We start from the raw sequence: 21,341 nt of genomic DNA on the forward strand, positions 1-21,341 counted from the left end.
TTTTATAAGCTCGGGCCTGTCTTATAATCTCTCTGTGTCTTGTTCTTGTATGTACCTTGATAATTTACTATCTGTCCTTTTTCTGCCCAGTGGATTTTTGAGGTTCACAAATGTGAGATACACAAAGATGTGATATACACTTGCTGTTCCGTGTTTTTTTTTTTTTGCAAATATGCATTTTCCCTCCAGAACTGTTACTGGTAACTATCCTGAGACTCAAGATGACTTTAAATAACACTTTTTTAAATACTATACTTAGTTAGGGTTAGACTTGGCTGCAAGAAACAGAAAATTCATAAGATCAGGAGCTTAAATGAGATACAACTATATTTTTCTCTTTGAATTAAAACTTGAGATAGGCATTCCAAAGCTACTGTAGTGTTCCATGATGTCAGGGATCCAGGATTTGTCAGACATAGCTTTTGTCCTCATGATTGCAGATGGAGCATAAGGACAATGTGTTATAGTCACATTCCAAGCAGAATGTGAAAAGGTACAATTATTTCCTTGTAAGGAAAGTTCCCAGTAGTTGTGGTACAACTGTGCTGGTTAATTCTATGGATCGGTGCTTAGTCAGAGGGCCATGTGTGGCTGCAAAAAAGGCTGGAAGATACGATACAGTCCTTTTTCTTGTGGCCATGTGTCCAGCTAAAATTTATGTCCTCTAAGAAGAGAAAAATTAGCAGTATTTTGCTCTCAAACATTAATTTTAATATATCCTATATTTTAAAACACTGTTGCTGGGTAGATTGTGAACTACATGTGGGCAAGGACTGTGTATAATAAAAAATATTATGTTGTCAGCTCTTAACGGTGTCAGCAAAATAATGAATAAATATTCATTGAAAATGTACATGGAGAGATGGTATTTTTATCATGTGAAATATGACTCAAAATGAGACTGATTTTTTACATTTTAAAACAAATGCACCCAACCATTGTTTATTCATTCAGTAATCACTGAGCGTATATACCGATTCATTAAAGTATCATTTTTCTTTCTTTAATTAAAAATCTTAAATTGATATATAATAGTTTTACATATTCTTGGAGTGCATATGATATTTTGATATCTGTATTTAATGTAGTAATGATCAAATTAGAGTAACTGGGATACCTATTACCTCAAACATTTATTTTTTCTTTGTGTTGGGAATACTGCAAATCTTCTCTTCTAGCGATTTTCAAATAGACAATAAATTATTGTTAATTATAATTTCCCTATTGTAGAGTCAAATATTAGAACTTATTTCTTCTATCTGACTATATTTTTGTGCCCTTTAACCAACTTCTCTTCATCTGCCTCTCCCTTCCTTTCCAAGCCTCTGGTAACCATCATCCTACTCTCTATCTCCCTGAAATCTACTTTTTTAGTTTTTGTATATAAGTGAAAATATGTGTTGTCTTTTTGTGCCTGGCTTATTTTACTTAACATAATGACCTCCAGTTGAGCAAATGACAGAATTTCATTCTGTTTTATGGCCAAATAATATTCCATTGTGTGTAGCTATACCACATTTTATCTATCCATTCATTTCTTGATGGACACAAAGAGTAATTCCATATCTTGGCTATTATGAATAGTGCTGCAGTAAGCACGGCAGTGCAGATATCTCTTCCATATACTGATTTTCTTTCTTTTGGATATACACCTAGCAGTGACATTGCTGGATCATATGGTAATTCTATTTGTAGTTTTTTGAGGAAACTCCTTACTTTTTTCCATACTGGCTGTGCTACTTTTACATTTTCACAAACAGTGTATAAGCTTTCCCCTTTCTCTGCATTCTTGCCAGCATGTGTTATTTTTTGTCTTTTTGATAATAGCTGTTCTAAGTGGGGTGAGGTTATTTCTCACTGTGTTTTTTACTTGTACTTTTCTTGATGGTTAGTGATATTGAAAATTTTGTAATATACCCATTGGCCATTTGTTTGTCTTCTTTTAAAAAATGTCTATTTGGGTCCTTTGCCTATTTTTTAATGACATTATTGGTTTTTGCTATTGAGTTGTTTGGGTTTCTCATGTATTCTGGTGATTAATCTCTTTTCATATGGAAAGTTTGCAAATATTTTCTCCCATTTTGTAAGTTATCTCTTCACTTTGTTAATTGTTTGCAGTGCAGAAGCTTAAAAAGCTTAATGTAGCTTCATGCAATCCAATTTGTCTATTGTTATTTTTTTTGTTTTTGTTGCCTGTGCTTTTGAGGCCTTACCCCAAAAATCTTTTTTGAGACCAATGTTCTGTATCATTTCCTCTGGTAGTTTCATAGTTTCAGGTCTTACATTTAAGTGTTTAATCCATTTTGAGTTAATTTTTTATATGGTGAAAGATGAGAATCTAGTTTCATTCTCCTGTATATAGTTTTCCCAACACTATTTTTTAAATTTATTTTTCATTTCAATAGGTTTTGGGGGAACAGGTGGTATTTTGTTACATGAATAAGTTCTTTAGTGTTGATTTCTGAGATTTTGGTGCCCCCATCACCCAGGCAGTGTACAATATGTCCAATGTGTAATCTTTCATCCCTCACGCCACTCGTACTCTTTCCCCTGAGTCCCCAAAGTCCATTGTATCATTCTTATGCCTTTGCGCCCCCATAGCTTAGCTCTCACTTATGAGTGAGAACATACCATGTTTGGTTTTCCATTTCTGAGTTACTTCACATAGAATAATAGTCTCCATTTCCATCCAGATTGCTGTGAATGCAATTATTTCGTTCCTTTTTATGGTTAAGTAGTATCCCATGGTGTATGTAACATATTTTCTTTATCCACTTATTGATTGATAAGCATTTGGGCTGGTTCCATATTTTTGCAATTGGACATTGTATCAGCACCATTTTTAAATGAGACTACATGCTTTTGGAGCTTTTTCTAAAAATGAGTTGGCTGTAAGTACATGGATTTATTTCTCAGTTCTCTGTTTTGTTCCATTGGTCCATTTATCTGTTTTTATGCCAGTATCATGTGGTTTGTGTTACTATGACTTTGTAATATAATTTGAAATCACATAGTATGATGCCTCTGCCTCCAGCTTTATTCTTTTTGCTCAGAATTGCTTTAATTATTCAAGGTCTTTTGCGATTCTATAGAAATTTTAGGATTGTATTTTTCATTTTTGTAAAGGATGTCATTGGTATTTTGATGAGGATTGCAATCAGTCTATAGATTGCTTTGGATAGTATAAATATTTTAGCAATATTAATTCTTCTAATTCATGAACATGGGATATTTCTTCATTTTTAATGTTCTTTTCCATTTCCTTCATCAGTGTTTTATATATATATATTTTTTTTTGTGGAGATCTTCCATGTCTTTGGTTAAATGGATTCCTAGAATTTTTTTTGTAGCTATTGTAAATAGGATTGCTTTCTTGATTTCTTTTTCAGGTTGATCTCTGCTAGTGTACTGAAACACTACTGATTTTTGTATGTTGATTTTGTATTCTGCAACTTTATTGAATTTGTGTATCAGATTTAAGAGTTTTTCGTGGAGTCTTTAGATTTCCTAAAATAAAAAATCGTATCATCTGAAAACAAGAATAATTTCACTTGCTTTTCAATTTGTATGCCTTTTCTTTCTTTTTCTTTCCTAACAGCTCTGACTAGGATTGCCAGTACTATGGTGAATGGAAGTGGTGAATATGGGCATCTTTGTCTTGTTCTAGATCTTACTGGGAAGGCTTTCAATTTTACCCCATTCAGTATGATGTTAGCTGTGAGTTTGTCATATATGACCTTAATCACGTTGAGGAATGTTCCTTCTATACCCATTTTGTTGACAGTTTTCATCATGAGGGCTGTTGAATTTTATTTCATGCACAAGTGTTGTTTTTCTTATAGTGACTTCTTTAACCATTTATCAAGTCATGTTTTGGATTTCTCCTTAAAAATGAGTCTCAGACTTAAGGTTCAAAACACCTATGGAAATAATTCTCTTTACGACTAATTTTTCTCTTTAAGCCTACTTTTCTTCATTTCTCAGAGAAGTTATCTTGCTCTGATAACTTTTTAACTCTTCCTAAAAATCAAATCTCCCCCCAACAAGATGGAGATTTGGTCCTGCTGGGGGATTTTTAAGTAAGGGCTGTTAGCTGTGATTGAGGTGCCTGTATATATGAGACAAGGAGCCTTAAGGGACTAGGATCAAATTAATTAAAAGTCACATTTATTGAGCCCTGCCATTGAAGAATTTATAATGTCTTCTATGCAAACCAATTCATTGGTAAGGAACAGCATTGCTATTCTCAGCATTTTGGAAATACCACAATGTTGGAGTCGTCTCAGAAGGATCTCTGAAGAGTTCTGGGAAGGTGACAGTCAACAGCAGAATAGCAGCTGCCACCACAGTCAAGCAGTTGGTTTGCTTGGCTTGGAAGTTTTAGACATCAAAGGAGTATGGCTTCTTCAATACTAAAACCAGTGACAAAATTGCAAAAGTTATTTTTATTCCTCTTCAAATATGAGCAAACATTACTGTGATTCAGCTTATTTTTATATAATGTTACAGGGAATCAAATTAAGAATTAAATGCATTTTTTGGCATAGTTATGTCTTGTAAAGAAAGAAAGATGGTGCCAGGGGAATTTTCCTTTCAAATATGTAAAGAACTTCTAATGAGTGAACCTTTCCTGTGTCGGAAAGATAGCATTCACCTCCTTTCCTGGCTTCTGTGCCAACTTACGATTGTGGTGTGTAGAAATTTAGTGTCAGCCACTGAAAGAACTATTTCCTAAGATGATACTGCTTTTTACTCAAGGAATAAGTAGGTTCCCTTTGAATTGACCTGTGTGTGTTTGGAAAACAAGCTTAAATATCTCCTCTTCTCATAGGAAGAACACTATTTCAAAGAGCCATTTTCTTTCCTAACAAAGAAATTCATACTGCAGAAAAATCAGCAATTTCACAGCTGGTTTTTGAAATCCTGAAATGATGTATACAAATCAAAGCAGGAGAGATTCATTTGGAATGAAAGGAATATTTGAATTGCATCCCAGTTTCGAATAGGATATTGTTTCACGGTTCTACAGTATTATAAACATGTCATGTCTGTTATACATGACAATCATATCTCATCTGTGACTCATGAACTTTATAAGAAAGTGACAATTTGAAAGCATAGAATTGCAGGATTGGATGGAACGATATCTTCTAAGTTATTTCCACTCCTTTTCCCATTTTTGGTTGACCATGCTAATTCCCCTCTAAAACATTCTTCTGTAGCTACTTGAAAACACCCATTGCTTCTTAAAGTAACCTATTGTCAAAGAATATTGGATTTTCTTATGTACATTGAAAAAATGACACTTTATTGGTTTTGATTCTACCACCAAGAGTCACAGGGAACTTTCTATCTTTTCATCATATATATAACAGGCTTTTCATCTTATATGTAACAGTCCTTAAATATTTTCATATTGTAATAATTTCCTATGGAACCTGTTGACTTTTACGCTAGAGTTATAGTGATGGAGGTAATGAGAAGTGATCATATTCTGGATATATGGCAGCAGTAGACAGAAGGTGTGGTTCATAGGAATTGATCATGGAATGGATGTGGGCTGTGAGAAAGAGCAGTCAATGTTTTTGACCTGAAGATGTTTTACTAACATATGTTAAGCATTTACTATCTGCTCAATATACTTTGCTAGGCATTGTAGCACAATTAAATGTGCATTTGCATAGCTGTTCGATGATACAGGTAGGACTATTCTCTAAGACTAAGAGAACATTAGTCAGGCCTCTTATGGTGAGGGAGGGGTTCCCTTTCTTTCCATTCTCATGCTTTGACTTGAGAGAGCAAGCCTATATGTTATTATGGATCAGAATTGAGATTTCATGCTCAGTTTTAAGTCTAAAAATATGCTTTTCAATATCTAGTATTTACATGCGTGTGACTTCTCAGGAATTATAACGAGAGCCTGAAAAATTACCAGGGGCAACATTTTCAGTCCGGAGATGTTATACCCCAGTTACTGCCACTAAATTTTAAGCTCCTTGGGAGCAGGAATTTGATTCTTTTATTATATTAATAGTATCTGTTACATAATATTAACTCAGTAAATGCAGGGTATGCTATTGTAAAACTATAGTCTCAGTCTCTGTAAGTGGATTTTTTAGGATAGACTAGGTCCTAGTTAATGTGATATATCTCTATTTCTGTCTATCTATCTGTCTACCTACCTACCTATGTATCATCTATTTATCTGTCAATCAAGAGAAGAAAATAAAGAAGCACTCTTGGAGAATCAAAATTTTTTATAACATGGTATGCAACTCCCTTACGTTCTTTATCAGCCACCTGCATGCAAACAGCATTATGTCTGAAGTTAAAACATGTAAGATATATGAGAGTGGAATCCTTGGTGCATTTCACTCTTGAACTCTTGTCTATGGAGTAAGTAGCCTGGGGGTAGTTTCTCCTCCTTTTTATATATGTGGGGAGAAGGAATTAGGTGGCTGATTATCTTGTGCTAAATAGGTTTCTCTGCCGATCCACAAGGTGGCAGGGAGTCCTTAGTGCCACTATGACAGATTAACCAAATAGGCATCTGTCGAAATGTCTGATGCATTAGTTGCACTGCCTGTAAAAGAGATGGGCCTCCTTGAGAAATAAATCCACACTGAATTTCAAATGTGGTTGTGTCCCCAAAATTAGCAACGTTTTCAAAGGTGTACCCTTCAAAGGAGAGCAGAAATAAACTGTACCTTAAAAGAACTAGTGCTCAGAGGCCTTTGTTTAATCAATGGTTAGTTTGGTGGTGATTGCACAAATTCACTACATTAAATTTAATCAGGGATGTTTCTGGTATGTGGGTGGCATGCTTACTGATTAATTCATTTATATTCTTGAAATAACATATGTTCTCCTGGATGAATTTCCACAGTTTGGTAATTCCACAGCATGCATTTCAGCATCTCTAAATGGCTGTTTTGTTCACTGTCCCAGAGCCTAAGACATGCTGGGTGCTGGGTACTGATTAGTTTACCAGACTAAGAATGACAGACAGGAAATGGCACCATTTTAATCTCTCAGAAGAACATCAGAGGAATCATTTCGGTGGCTGTAAATACTTCAGGATTTTGATGTCACCTTTTCAAGTTGCTTTAAGAAATCACTTAGGAATGGTTTGGGAGACCATGATACAATGAGGTCCCGCAAAGAATTACACCTTTCTTTGTCAGGGTTCTGAAATTGATTAAGTATAACTATGTCCGTGATGTAATCGATTACATTAAAACTATCATTTTGGAGAAAAGAGACCTGATGGATTACAGAGTCTCTACCCTTATTTATAAAAAACGATGAAATGAAACTCAGTAGTTCATTGACTTTTGTAGATGGAAAGATAGTTTGTAGTAGAGCTTTGCATTCAGGACTAGTAGTTGCCACCACCCCCCGCCCATCCCCTATTATAGCCAGTTTGTTTGTTTGTTTGTTTATTTATTTATTTATTTATTTATTTATTTATTTATTTATTTTTTGAGACGGAGTCTCGCTCTGTCGCCCAGGCCGGACTGCGGACTGCAGTGGCGCAATCTCGGCTCACTGCAAGCTCCGCTTCCCGGGTTCACGCCATTCTCCTGCCTCAGCCTCCCCAGTAGCTGGGACTACAGGCGCCCGCCACCGCGCCCGGCTAATTTTTTGTATTTTTAGTAGAGACGGGGTTTCACCTTGTTAGCCAGGATGGTCTCGATCTCCTGACCTCATGATCCACCCGCCTCGGCCTCCCAAAGTGCTGGGATTACAGGCGTGAGCCACCGCGCCCGGCCTATTTATTTATTTACTTTAACTTTTATTTTAGGTTCAACGACATATATACAGGTTTGTTATATAGGTAAATTAGTGTCATGGGGGTTTGGTGTACAGATTATTTTGTCACCCAGGTACTAAGCCTAGTACCTGATAGCCAGTTTAAAGTGTGTACATTGGGGAAGGGGGGGAATGAGGTTGTTCTTAGACAGTTAGAGGCACAGAGGGTATATATATATATGGGATTGCCTTATGTTAATACATCACTTGGCTTTAAGTGTGGGAATGGACAGGAGTACTTGTTATGACCTGTGGGGCCCTACTTTCCTTCATTCTCAGAGAGATTTTGCAAATTGCCTAAAATATCTGTTAATATGCTCTGTGGCTACATGCTTACAGACATGATGACAAGGAGGGGGGAAAATATTGTTCATTGTTGTCATTTTCTAGCTGGAACCATGAGATTTGCTTAAGGAAGACTGAAGGCTAGTGTGACAGAAAATGGAGCTCAGGAGGACCCAGAATAAATTACATTCCTTTGGAGGGTCCTGAGAGGGGCAGGCCATGGCTTAGTTCCTTCTATTCCACTCATTTCTTACAGTTCAGCTGCCTCCCGATGTGCAGTTGTTTAGTATGCAAATCAATAATCATTACCTATGTGAAGTGTTAGTTCACAGGCGTGCAGGCTGTGGTCAGTTGGTACCTGTTCCCTCCTAAAGAACTATCTCTGAAGTTGAACATCTCTGTTTTTCTTTGTATAAATCTGAATATTAATTAGACCACTGCTTATTAACTTAGGGACCTCTCTGCTTTTGGTGACAGTAGCAGGCAGAATATAGATGGTAGAAAACGAAATATCATGCTGTTTCTGTAAACGGTTTGGTGTCTCCATATAATAAAACTCTTTAGAATTAACTGCCTCCAGAAACAGGGACAAATGTGATGTCCTTTCTCTGCCCCTTGAATTAAATAACAAAATGAACAGCAGATCATTTTGATGTTGCTACTCCATAAAGATCATTTTGTTATTGTTACTAGGAGAGAGTGGAGTGTAATGGAAAGAATACATGTTTACAGCTGGGCTGTAATCTTGGATCTTCTGAAAAGTAAGAATATGTTCTTGAAGGAACCTCAAATTTTGTGAATGTGCTTATTATTTTAAAGATAATTACATGGATTCAATTTCTGTCTCCGTAGTAACCTGCTGTATTATCTTTCTCTAGCTATATAATCTCTCTTTGCCTCCATTTCTTCATTTGTTAAATAGGGATAATAATAGCACCTATATCATAGGTTTATTATAAAAAATGAAATGGATTCACATTTTTAATGTTCTATGTAATTACTTATCATTGTTGTTTTAATAGGGAAAGTATTGGTTATATAAATAGCCAAGAAAACAGCCAACTGAGACTTTTCTTCCTAGATTACCTTGGTTATATCAGTGCTTCTGGGTGTGGTCACTGATATTCTACAGCAGAAACAGCTAGTGGGGTCCCCAACTAAAGAATGTATCTTATTGGAGGCTAAGAATTATGAGGCAACTATCTCTGACTTGAGAACCCTAACCTTATATTGACATCTGAGATTTATTCATCAATAAACACCTTTTTGTAATCCAGAATCATGTTATGTCATTACTTTCTATATCAGAATTTAAATGTTAAGGGACCAAGACATTATGCAATGAATACTAAAATGTTACTAAAATCATGTGTTGTGAAGAATATTTGGAAATATGGAAACATGTTCACAAGATGTTAAGTAAAAAAACAGGTTAGCAGGTTGTAAAACAGTATTTCAGTATGATTCTAAATTGCAATCATTAAATAATTTTATAATCATGAAAAATGTTATTAAAATATTATAATCCTGTGATAAATTCTAATGAGTACTTTCTTGATTTGGCTTTAACATTTTCCAAAATTAAAATTACAAGTTTTTTTTCTGATTATAACAGTAATACAGCTTACTACTGTAGCTATTACAAGCAAAATAGAAAATTAGGTAAAGATGATTAAAATCATCCACAATCCCAGTTTCTTAAAATGGCCTTACTAAGATTTTTAACAAAAATTTACTCCACATATTTATTTATGAATTTTTATATGCACCATTTCTCTAATTTTCCTAAATGGAGTTTATAATATCTACCTGTTTTCACTCAATAATATATTGAACTATATGTTGACCCTCATCATTGTCCCAAAGTTTAAAGTCATTGAATAGAGATACAGCAATCACTTACTGATGGAGATGTGTAGTTTGGTTGTCTTACAATTTGTACATTAAAGTTATACTATGATAAAGATCTTTGTGCATACCAATTTACCCTACCAAAAGATATGAGAATATTTCCAGTTGAATTTTAAAATGAAAACCTCATTATTCTTTTAACTTACTCTCATTTGATTATTGAGGTGGAGTATTTTTCCATAGGCGTCTTTGAGCCCCTCAACTTGACAATTGTATTGACAATTATTCACTGTATGATTATCGTGATTATTGCAATTAAGTGATTACTTATGGTTTCTCATTTATTGGAAGGAGCATTGTAAGGGTAGCAGAAACACTACAGAGCCTTTTTTTTTTTATTTAACCACTCTCTTGCCCTGGACATGAGGTGGTGATTGGACTCTCAGATGCTGCTTTTGTAATATCGCATGGTCAAATCAAGCCCTATCAAAGTGCCCTGTCATGTCCTTTCATATCTCCTTAGGGTTAAGTATGTCCCCAAAGCCCTGCGTCTTGAGGTAGGCATGGGAATTATCTTCAAAAATATCAACATAGGATATAACTTTCTCTCTTAGATTAGCTAAGCTTAGAAGAAAAATTTCTTTGTGGTCAAATGTTTCTGCCATATTAAAATCTACAAGTCAGGTGGTGACCAGATTTTGTGATGCCATCCAAAAGGTTTTAGTACAAATTTTTCTTAAAAATGCAGTAAGTAATTGTAAACTGTGATACTTTTAAATTATCTGCAAGATTATTCCATGACCATTTTTAAAATAGATGGTTTTTCTGTTGTGGTCTTAGTTGTCATTTTATAGTTGACCCCACGTGTAACTTTTCGAAGACTCTCAGGATTCCCTTCAGTCCTATTCTGTGTATCTATCTAGTCATTGTCCCAGTGAAATGATAAAAGGCCCAACTCAGCTTGTTTTGCAATGTGGGCAACAAACATCTCAATAGGATGTGTCTCTTCCAGTTGTTTTTCTTGTACTATTGATGTCTTATGGGGAGATATTTAACTTCACTTCTTGGTCTTATTCGTAGCAACTTCCATGACTGATGAGCCAGTTGAATTAGTCTTTGGGATAGTCACTAAGTAGATGGGAACAGGATTTTCTTGGTTGGAAGTCCATTTCTTGAATATTCAAGTTTGTTTGTCCTAGAAATTTAATTGACTGAGCCTGCCTAGTAAAGGAAATCTTTGTCATGCCAGTGTGAAGTTCTGCTTCCCACTTTACTATTTTCCTCTTAATGCAGTACTAATATATGTTGAACCAAAAACAAAAACCTGGGCTTATAGCATAACACACCTGGTATTAAATTGTGGTACCACCATTTGTTATCCTGGTTAGTTAACAACTTTCTGAAAATAAAATAAGGATAATAATATCTATCTTAATGTATCTTTTTTTCTTATGAGGTATCTAAGATAGAAGAATTTCTTTTTCTTTGCCTTCGCTTAATAGAGGTTAGCATTATTTTATTTTATATAAACATAGAAATAAACATCTGCTGGAAACTCATTTGAGAGAAAACAACCCATGTTGGATCTTAGGGAGGTAGATACACTTTTCCATTCTTTCTTCAATCTACAGAGGTTCATGTCATACCCACATCTTCATCTAAAAATCAAGGAATGAGGCTGGATACCGTGGCTCACGCTTGTAATCCCAGCACTTTGCGAGGCCGAGGCAGACAAATCACTTGAGCTCAGGAGCTCAAAACCAGCCTGTCCAACATGGTGAAAACCTGTCTCTACTAAAAATAAAAAAATTAGCCAGGTGTGGTGGTGGGTGCGTGTAATCTCAGCTACTCGGGAGACTGAGGCAGGAGAATCACTTGAACCCAGGAGGCGGAGGTTGCAGGGAGCCAAGATTGCACCACTGCACTCCAGCCTGGACGACAGAGAGAGACTCCATCAAAAACAAACAAACAAACAAACAAACAAACAACCCAGGAATCATTCTAGACATTATTTGTTTCTCAAATCTGTAATTGTTTTAGGATCTATGTTTGTTTTCTTTTCACCAAAACTAAAGAAACACTGTTCCTTATTTGCTTTTTTTTTCCTCAGTCTGGCTACTTACTTTTCTCCCTCATAGACAAATGCTAACAACCAATGAATCACCATATTTCTCCTTTATTAAAGCTGTCTCCAATGGCATTCTCAGCAAGTTAAAATGTCAAGTATATGGGCCTTTAAGAAAGGTTTCAAAAGATATCCCTGGGGAGGGAGGGAAGAGAAATTTGAGGAGGGAGGAGGGAAGCCATGTGACCTGAGAAGCAGGAATTCTGTACATAAATACTGAAGTTTACTGTCAAGCTTCCGAGTAAAAATGTTAAATATTTGCAGTGTCCACAACCCATGTCCCTGTGATAAGGCTGGTTAATTCCTAGAACATAATGCTAGGAATTCAAGAATGGGGATCATATCCTGAGTACTGATGATCCATCTTGATACTGTGTCAAAGGGCACAGGATGAGGAATGGAAGGGTTTGGAGAGTGAGAATAAATTACTGCAAATCCAAACATCTGACTGGATAAACTACTCCAAGTGGATATCATTTATTATTCACTCCATAGAAAGATTAGAATGTACACCCTAGGGAGATTAAGGTAAGAGTAAGAGAGATGTCTAAACATTTTATGTGTCCATCATCTACGTTGCCTGTTTATCAGAGTCTGTCACTATAATGTTTACTGCTGTAAGTGGTTAATTATGAATATATCAGCTGAATGCTTTCATGTCAGTTGAGCTGTGCAGTTGCCACAGTGAGCACTCTTTTCATGTGGACTTTTGGATAAACCAGCGTTTAGAGATTGTGTTTTATAAATTATATGACCAAATTCCAATACCACATGGAGAATACGTGATTTATGTGCTAATTGGATCATGTCCATTAGACATCCTCATAACTATCTTTTATCGGCACTACAGTTTTTATTTACTAAAACATAGTCACATGAAAGTTTCCTATAATAGTATTCTACACTTTCTATTCTCTGACTCTTAGGAATCACTACTCCTTCTGAACTCCTTTAGCAATGAATTTCACAATTATATATTATTAATGTGAAATTCACAATTATATATTATATACATTTAAGTATATGCAGTGAGTTTCACAATTACATGTTCTTTCATGTGTTTATTTTTCTCATCAAAAAATTAAATCTTGGCCAGGCGCGGTGGGTAACACCTGTAATCCCAGCACTTTGGCAGGCTGAGGCGGGCGGATCATGAGGTCAGGCATTTGAGACCAGCCTGGCCAACATGATGAAACCCCGTTTCTACTGAAAATACAAAAATTAGCCGGGCGTGGTGGTGTGTGCCTGTAATCCCAGCTACTCAGGAAGCTGAGTCAGGAGAATCACGTGAACCTGGGAGGTATAGGTTGCAGTGAGCCGAGATTGTGCCACTGCACTCCAGTCTAGGTGACAGAGCCAGACTCTGTCTCAAAAAAAAAAAAAAAAAACAAAAAAAAATATTAAATCTTGATTTGAAAGATTTGAAATATCAGGTGAGTATAAAATCATTGGTAATTCTAACAACTGAAATTAATAATTTCAAAAATATTGCTTTTTGTATGTCTATAAACTTTTATATATTGAAAAAACGTATATATGCAAATATGTTGAATTCATGTCATATCTTTTTAACATTATCTGCATTATAATTTTGAATATCTTTTTGCTTAATTAATTAATTTATTTTTATTATTTTTTTTTGAGACAGAGTCTCACTCTGCTGCCCAGGCTGGAGTACAGTGGCACCATCTTGGCTCACTGCAACCTCTGCCTCTCAGGTTCAAGTGATTCTCCTGCCTCAGCCTCCCGAGTAGGTAGGATTACAGGTGCAAGCCACTGTGCTCAGCTATTTTTTTGTATTTTTAGCAGAGAGAGGGTTTCACCACGTTGGCCAGGCTGGTCTTGAACTCCTGGCCTCAAGTGATCCACCTGCCTCTGCCTCCCAAAGTGCTGGGATTACAGGCGTGAGCCACTGCGGCAGGCTTCTTTGCTTGATTTATGATCTTTTAAAAAATTTGTCATGCTGGGTCAATTAAGTGGTAGGTATTTAGAAAGTAAGACTCTTCTATTTTTTAGGATCTCTGTGGCATAGTGCATTGCAAGTAGTTCTCAATAAATAGCTTTTGTTGTAAACTAACACACTGGTTACTTTCTAAAGTCATTTGCTCTTTTAAAATCCCTTTGGTATACTAATCTATACTATATCACTATACTTGTAGACCAAGGGATTTGTCTGGCCAACATGGTGAAACCCCGTCTCTACTAAAAATACAAAAATTAGATGGGCGTGGTGGCGCGTGCTTGTGATCCCAGCTACTCAGGAGGCTGAGGCAAGATAATCGCTTGAACCTGGGAGGCAAAGGTTGCAGTGAGCCGAGATCGCTCCACTGCACTCCAGCCTGGGCGAGCTACTGCACTCCAGCCAAGGGTTTGGTCTACAAATATAGTGATATAGTATAGATTAATTCAGTTGCTTTAAAAAAATCCATATGCCACAGGATGGCTCAGGATATCAATCTATATCTTAGAAAAATTATTATACAAATAAATAGGCAACAAGATTGAGAAAAACTGGTATATTTGGTAAAAATACACCAAAAAAGCAAGAGAGGAGGAGGGAGATATGTGTTTTAGAACCCACACATTTTCACCAGGTGAATTTTAAAGGCTATAAGAGTTCATAAAATCTTAGCATCCTGAGTCATTTGAGAGTCTGATAAACATCATTTAAATACGTAATTTAATTGTTTCTCTTTTCTTGTTAGAGAAAGGTGGTGCAAACTTATTCCTGGAAGACGGTCAGCCATATTAATAATGAGCAAAATGCCTATTGAGTTGGTTTTTTAAATACTAAGAAAATGACTTTTGAAGTTAAAACACATGCTAACTGTTGCTTAGTTTTAAATATATATATATGGAGTGGAACAAAAGTTCCCACTCAACAGCTTACTGAAAAATACAAAAAGGAATGCAGTTTTCAGCAGGTTCTATTTGCCATAAAACATTTTCTTTTCTTACCATTGTTTTATTTTTTTCTTTCTGGTCTCCCCCTCTTGCCAACGTTCACAGCTGGACATCTTTGTCCATCTTTCAGGTACTTTGTGTTGCATATCCGTACGTGAAACACATATATGCATAACTATTCAGGTTTCCCTCCTGTCTCCATTGTTGGCAGAATTCTCATTCAAGTTAACATTAATATACTTTTTTGCTCTTCTCTTCCTCCTGGTTTGTCCTTTTGTCACTTGGAAAATATTGATTTCCCTCCATTGTAGGTGAGATGCACCTACATGGCTCATTTGTGCTTACTTCCTTCTTGTTTGGAGACTCAGCAAGTTCAGCACAATGCTATTTATTGAATTTATCTGTCAATTTCTTCTTCCTTGCATGGCTGACTAATTCAGTGGAATCAGCACAATACCAGAAGCACAGAGGATAATGGCTTAAATTTTTTTTTTCGCAGAAAATTGTAAATCAAAAGTAGAGACTAAATTTGAGGACCAATCCCTTCAGAAGGTTGCAACTTGTAAAGTGTGTGCAGGACTGTCTAGGTGAACATGGCAACAGATATGATTTTCTAATGGGGCACTTCTCAGCTTTTCATTAAATGTCTAAGAAATACACAGAAAGACATGAATTGGCAGCAGGATTGTGAAATAAAAATGAGAGGAGCCTCTAACATAGGCAAAAACTTTCCTCCAAACAGACAAACAAAAGCGTATAATCAATGAAGAAATAAAAATCAGAATAACCTCATTTTCTTCACAGTACAAAATACTAAAAAATCAACAGAGTTATTTTCATGAATGGCTTAGTCTTTGGAATTGGCTTTGGACATGCATTCCTACTTCACACATCCCAGTGAACCTCAGCACATTAGCTGGTTACTGAGAAGGTAGGAAAGTAAACTGACCTTTACCTTTTGTGAACTGGGTGCTACTTACTAGGATCTTACTGGTCTCTTTCTGCCAAGGTCAGCTCCTCTTGTGTTACAACAGAGAAACGACTAATCTCAGAATGTAACATGTTTTAGATAAGTGGTATGGAGAAGCAGTCATGCTTAGTTGTTGAAAGAGAAGTATACAGTATGCACAAGTGTATACTTTTGTAAGTTTTTATGCTGTTCAAAGAAGAACTTTAAGATACTATTACAGCATAGTCATTAAGAGAAAAGATGTTAAATAGACAAGATGCTTTTGAATTGCAAGACCCCTGTGCCTAATCCTGAAAAAGTTTTCTAACTTCTTTGTGCCTTAGTTTCCTCATTTGTAAAATGGCCATTAAACACTTCATAATATTACTGTGAGGATTAAAAAAGTAAGAACTAAGTCCAGTGTTTGGTAACTGTAGTAAGCCCTAGATGGATGATTGTCACTACTGTTATTTACCCTAAATAAATTCAATATTTATCTTTAGTTATTATTATACCACACTGTTACTAAGTTAGGCTTAGAAGGAAATGACTCCCTGTTAGCTTTGAAGGTTGAGCTACAAGATCATGCCCATCAAGTTAAAATTAAGGTTTTGACCTGACAATTGAAGGTGCAAGCCTAGAGAGATTACCTTCCACATAAGCTTAATACCTGGCCTAAGTGGCTTGCTCACGTTATCTAAGTAGAAACAAACTGAAACAAACAAAACTAATAATCAAAACTAATAAAAACATCCAAATAAATAAAATTATTGATTCAGGCAAGGAATAAGGATTAATAAATTTGATAATGAGGGGCTGGATAATTGTATAATGTCAAGGTGGAATCACACGTGTAACTTTCTAATCAAAGAAAAAAAACACACACTGGAGAGATCCTACTATTTCCATCCTATTCCAGTAGTCAGTCAGTTGTTATATGCCCTGGGATATAATGCAAGATATAATGAGCAACTTTCACAATGTAGTCTAGTCAAAAAAGTTTTACCAACATCAGATCATTAGGAGATACAGGAGATAGAAGAACAAGGGAGACATCATCACATGGATGCAATCAGACAAATGACACGTGCGAGACATTCTGTGAAACAGCAGACCTGGTCTCTTCAACAAGTCACTGTCTGGAAAAAGGACTGAACTATATTAAGAATGACTGAAGAAACAGAATCAGATGCAATGATTGGTCTTGAATTAGATACTTATTTTGTCAAACCAGATGAAAAGGCATTTTTGACAGGATTGCCTGTTTTTGTAACCCAAAATATGCATTGAAAAAAATAAGCAAGACTTTTGTTAAAATATCTTTAGACAGAATTTTGGTATATATATATGATATATATGTGATTATATCTACATATATCTATATATATATTCTGTCTAAAAATTCTCACAATTCTGTGTAAAGATATTTTAGACAGAATTAGGAGATATCTGTATCTAGCTCTAGATATAGCTAAATATATATTCCTTTATATATCTATAAATCTATATATCTAGCTATATATATTTAGATATATCTTGCTCTAGATATATATCTAGCTCTTATATATAGAGAGAGAGATAGATATAGAGCTAGGTATAGATATATAAAGGAATATATATCTATATAGTATGTTTATGACCTACAAGTATTCTTTTTTGATCAGGTTTTCTTGAACATCAGATATATGTATATACCAGACCATTCAACATGCATTTATTTTTTTATTTTTATCTTTAAATAGAGACAGGGTTTTCTCATGTTGCCCAGGCTGGTCTCAAACTCGTGGGCTCAAGTGATTCACCTGCCTCAGCCTCCCAAAGTGCTGGGATTACAGGCGTGAGCCACTGCACCCAGTATCAACAGGCATTTATAAGCATAGGTATAATCTAGTGCTCTTGATTGATTAAAAGTATATTTTGAGAATTGTTTATTGTGATTGCTTGAAAGGTGATTATTATAAAAATGAGTAAAATAATGAATCACTACTCCCTTTTTTGTTTCTTATTTTGTTTGTTTCTTCCTTTTGTACTCAAGTAACAAAAATCTTAATTTAGCTCTGAGGATACAAATGAAGAGTAATGTTTCTTGCCCCTGGTCCCACAGTTAGTGACAGACAGTCACTAAAAATTGAAATGCAGACAGTCCAATTTCAGAAACCATGCTCTTGACCAATACATTGAAGGGTCTTTAGCTATTAGCTGCCTATAAAATATGTGGTCATAACCGTAGAGAACACAGCAAAATACCACAATAAAAAAGGATAAATGAAACTTCACTATTTTTCATGGAAAAACCCAACTTGTATTGCCTGCTTCCTTTGTCAGCTTTGAGAACTTCAGTATGAAGTTTTGTACCTATAGCTCCAGCTCCTGAAAAAATTGTTCCAAAAGCCTCAACACCAGTTAAATTAAGTTCCTGACAGAAGTTGGAAACATTATGAGAATGACACACATGGTTTTTGTTCAGATCATCTGGGGAATGCACGTCACACTGGCATCAACCTCCAACAGAGCCTTGGGATGACAGAAGCAGCCGTTCGGAGGAGGCCTCTCCTTGCTCTGTTAGTGAAAAGTTGAGATTTGGATGGTATTTTTCACACTCTTGACAGTTTATGACACGCTGATGGGATGAAACAGAGAGACTGCATACTAAAAGTTGGCTGTGACCTAACAAGCAAAGTTACACAAGTCATCCCTGGTCACATAAGAGGTTTCACCTCCTCATTTCTAAAAGCTAATTATTACTAGCTTTTTGTGATTACCAGATATACCTCTTCCATTTTTTATACCTCCTACTCTCTTAACATGGACAGCATTGTTGAACTCAGGATCTGAAGTCAGACAGCATTGTCTTCTTTGAGCCTCAATCTGCTTGTCAATGAAGTAGGGATGATGACAATTCTTTCCATATAGTGTAGTTGTGAGCATGATAAAATGCCTAGTACAGGGACTGTCTAGTAACTCCTAACCACAACTATTATGCTTGTTAGTCCCCATGGCCTATTTATTTTAAGCCCAAAGCATCTTCTGGAGCTAAGCACTGTAATGCCCTTGAAGTGTTTTTTAATCTCTTCAGTTCTGTCTACTGCACGTTGTGGTCTTACACTGCTCCTGGCCACTGTTGAGTTATTCCTAAAGGAATACAGCAATTTCAGAGGCCTTCTGAAGCTCCCTGTCATGCCTGGCAATGTCATTATATACCAACTGATACGTTTTTACTTTTCCCAATTCTTGACAACCTTCTATAGTAGTATTTCACATATCTGCTTGGAAAAAATATTTGGGTAACAGCTTTTGGTATTGCTAGGTGTTTTCGGTTTTCTTCTTACCTTTTTGTTTATCGTAGTATAATTATAGGAATTAATTAATTTGTCGAATTGTGTTATTTCTCTGCTCGTCTAGCATCATCTTGCTGTATGGAGATAAAGAGCAGTTAATTTTGAGTAATATACTAGAAGTTTGGTATTCGTGACTCTCATTTTTGGTGAACCACTCTACTGACTCAAAAACAAAGATTTTTATGTGCTTTGAAATTTTAATAATCAGGTAATGTCTAACATTTCACATTTTCTCCAATAGCCACTCTTTTTTGCTTTTATTTTTGCATATAATCCTGCTCCATTTCTAAAATTGCCCTTTGAAATTTTCTTATTTTCCTACACATTCCAGTTTATTACTATGTGGAAGCTGATAATATTTATACTTTGTTTTCTAGGAGGTCATTGATATAAAATTTTATTTTATGGTTGATTTTCTTGTGAATGGGTGTTTTACACAATTTTCAAGTAATTGGCGTGGATTTTATGAGGCCAGTCAAATGTAGCAAACATTATAAAATTACTGAAAATGTATCAGTGATGACAAATATTTAATGATTGGTTTATTTTGATTGGTCGTAGTTCCATTTTTCTCTAAGGCATCTTCCTTAAAATAAGCATATATAAATGACCTTTAATGTATACAGCATGCATTTTTTCATTCTCTAGCAATGAGAGCAAGCACATAATGTTGTGATCACTGTTAGCCCATCTGTGTTTTAACATGCTCTCCTTAGTTTTATTCTCCTGTGTTGTTCATTTAGTATATGGCCTCATTCTTCCACTTTTTTTTCTGTTTTGATGAATAGTTTGGATAATAATGACTGACCCAAGGTGTGCAAATGATTTAAGCAAACAAAGCAAAACTATTCCACTGTCTTTTGAAATGTAGGCTTCAGGGTATCTTGAATTGCATTCAAAAAGATAAAACTCTTCATCAGAATTAAAAACATACGTTTACACAAAATCATGTACACAAGTTCATAGCAGCATTATTTGTAATAGCCCCAAAGTAGAAACAACTCAAATGTTCATCAACTGATAATTCGATTAAACAAAATCTGGCATAACCATAAATGGAATATTATTCAGGCATAAAAAGGAATGAAGTTCTAATACGTGTTACAAGTTGGATGAACTTTGAAAATATGCTAAGTGAAAGAAGTCATATACAAAAGACTTGCAAGGTTCTATGCCTTCATGTATATGAAATACCCAGAATAGGCAAATCCATAGAAACGGAAAGTAGATTAGAGGTTCCTAGGAGCCAGGTACAGAGGGGAATGGAGAGTTATTGCTTAATGGGTATGGAGTTTCTTTAGAGGAAAAAATTCTGGAGTGGTGGTGGCTACACAATTTTGTGAAATATACTAAAAACCATTGAAGTGTATGCTTTAAAAAGGTTAAATGGTAAATGTTACATTACGTGAATTTTATCTCTAAAAGCATTTTAAGAGAAGACATTATAATAAACAGAGAGTACAAAGATCAGAAGACAAAAGAAATTGGTGGAAATTATTTGACATTATGAAGAGCATTGTAAGTCTCAATTTCAGGGAGAATTGACCATAATTGACAAAATATTGCATAAATAATATCAGGGATGCATTTGGATAAGAAACACATATTACAATCCTTTATAATGTTAACTTAGTATGTATTCCAGTTTCCACAAATGCACTCCATCTCCCCCAAAGTATAGGCAAGTAGTCCTTGAAAGTTGGAATGGAAAGATTAAGCAACATTTTCATAAATATGTCACTGAAACAGGCTCACAAAGCAGTACATGCCATATAATGGGAACTGGGGTATAGAAGAGAGGTTAATCAATGCTGTATAGCTAAACTGGAAGTAAAGAGGGATTTCATAAGAGAGGTTCCCTTTAAACTTGTTTTGGAAGGATACATAGGAGTTCTCCATAGTGTGGATAATGAGGGAACAATATGAGCAGTAAGAACTTTCATCTAACCTTTAACTTCTTTCTTCTATCCAGAAAGGGTTAGTCAATTTTGCATTGAGCACCATCACCCATTCCCTAAATACAATTCAAACGGCTTACAATCCTTGTTTTTTTGGTTTGGTATGTAAGGTTTAGTTT

General features: G+C 35.4%; 1 protein-coding gene across 29 annotated transcripts in view, besides 1 other annotated feature; it reads left to right on the top strand.

Annotated features, from left to right (window-relative positions):
* CNTN4 (contactin 4) overlaps positions 1–21,341 on the top strand; it is a 959,094-nt gene that overhangs the window by 163,611 nt on the left and 774,142 nt on the right. The gene's annotated exons all lie outside the window — the stretch shown is intronic.
* Positions 18,588–18,757: an enhancer, noted in NCBI's record as "experimental_68491 CRE fragment used in MPRA reporter constructs". NCBI's record gives its function as "activates a minimal promoter by MPRAs in K562 erythroleukemia cells, with activity observed for the introgressed 3:2322833 variant allele {active_cell/tissue: K562}" and the evidence as "EXISTENCE:reporter gene assay evidence [ECO:0000049][PMID:34662402]".

The sequence above is a fragment of the Homo sapiens genome, chromosome 3 (genome assembly GCF_000001405.40).
Source record: "Homo sapiens chromosome 3, GRCh38.p14 Primary Assembly".
Classification (NCBI taxonomy): Eukaryota; Metazoa; Chordata; class Mammalia; order Primates; family Hominidae; genus Homo; species Homo sapiens.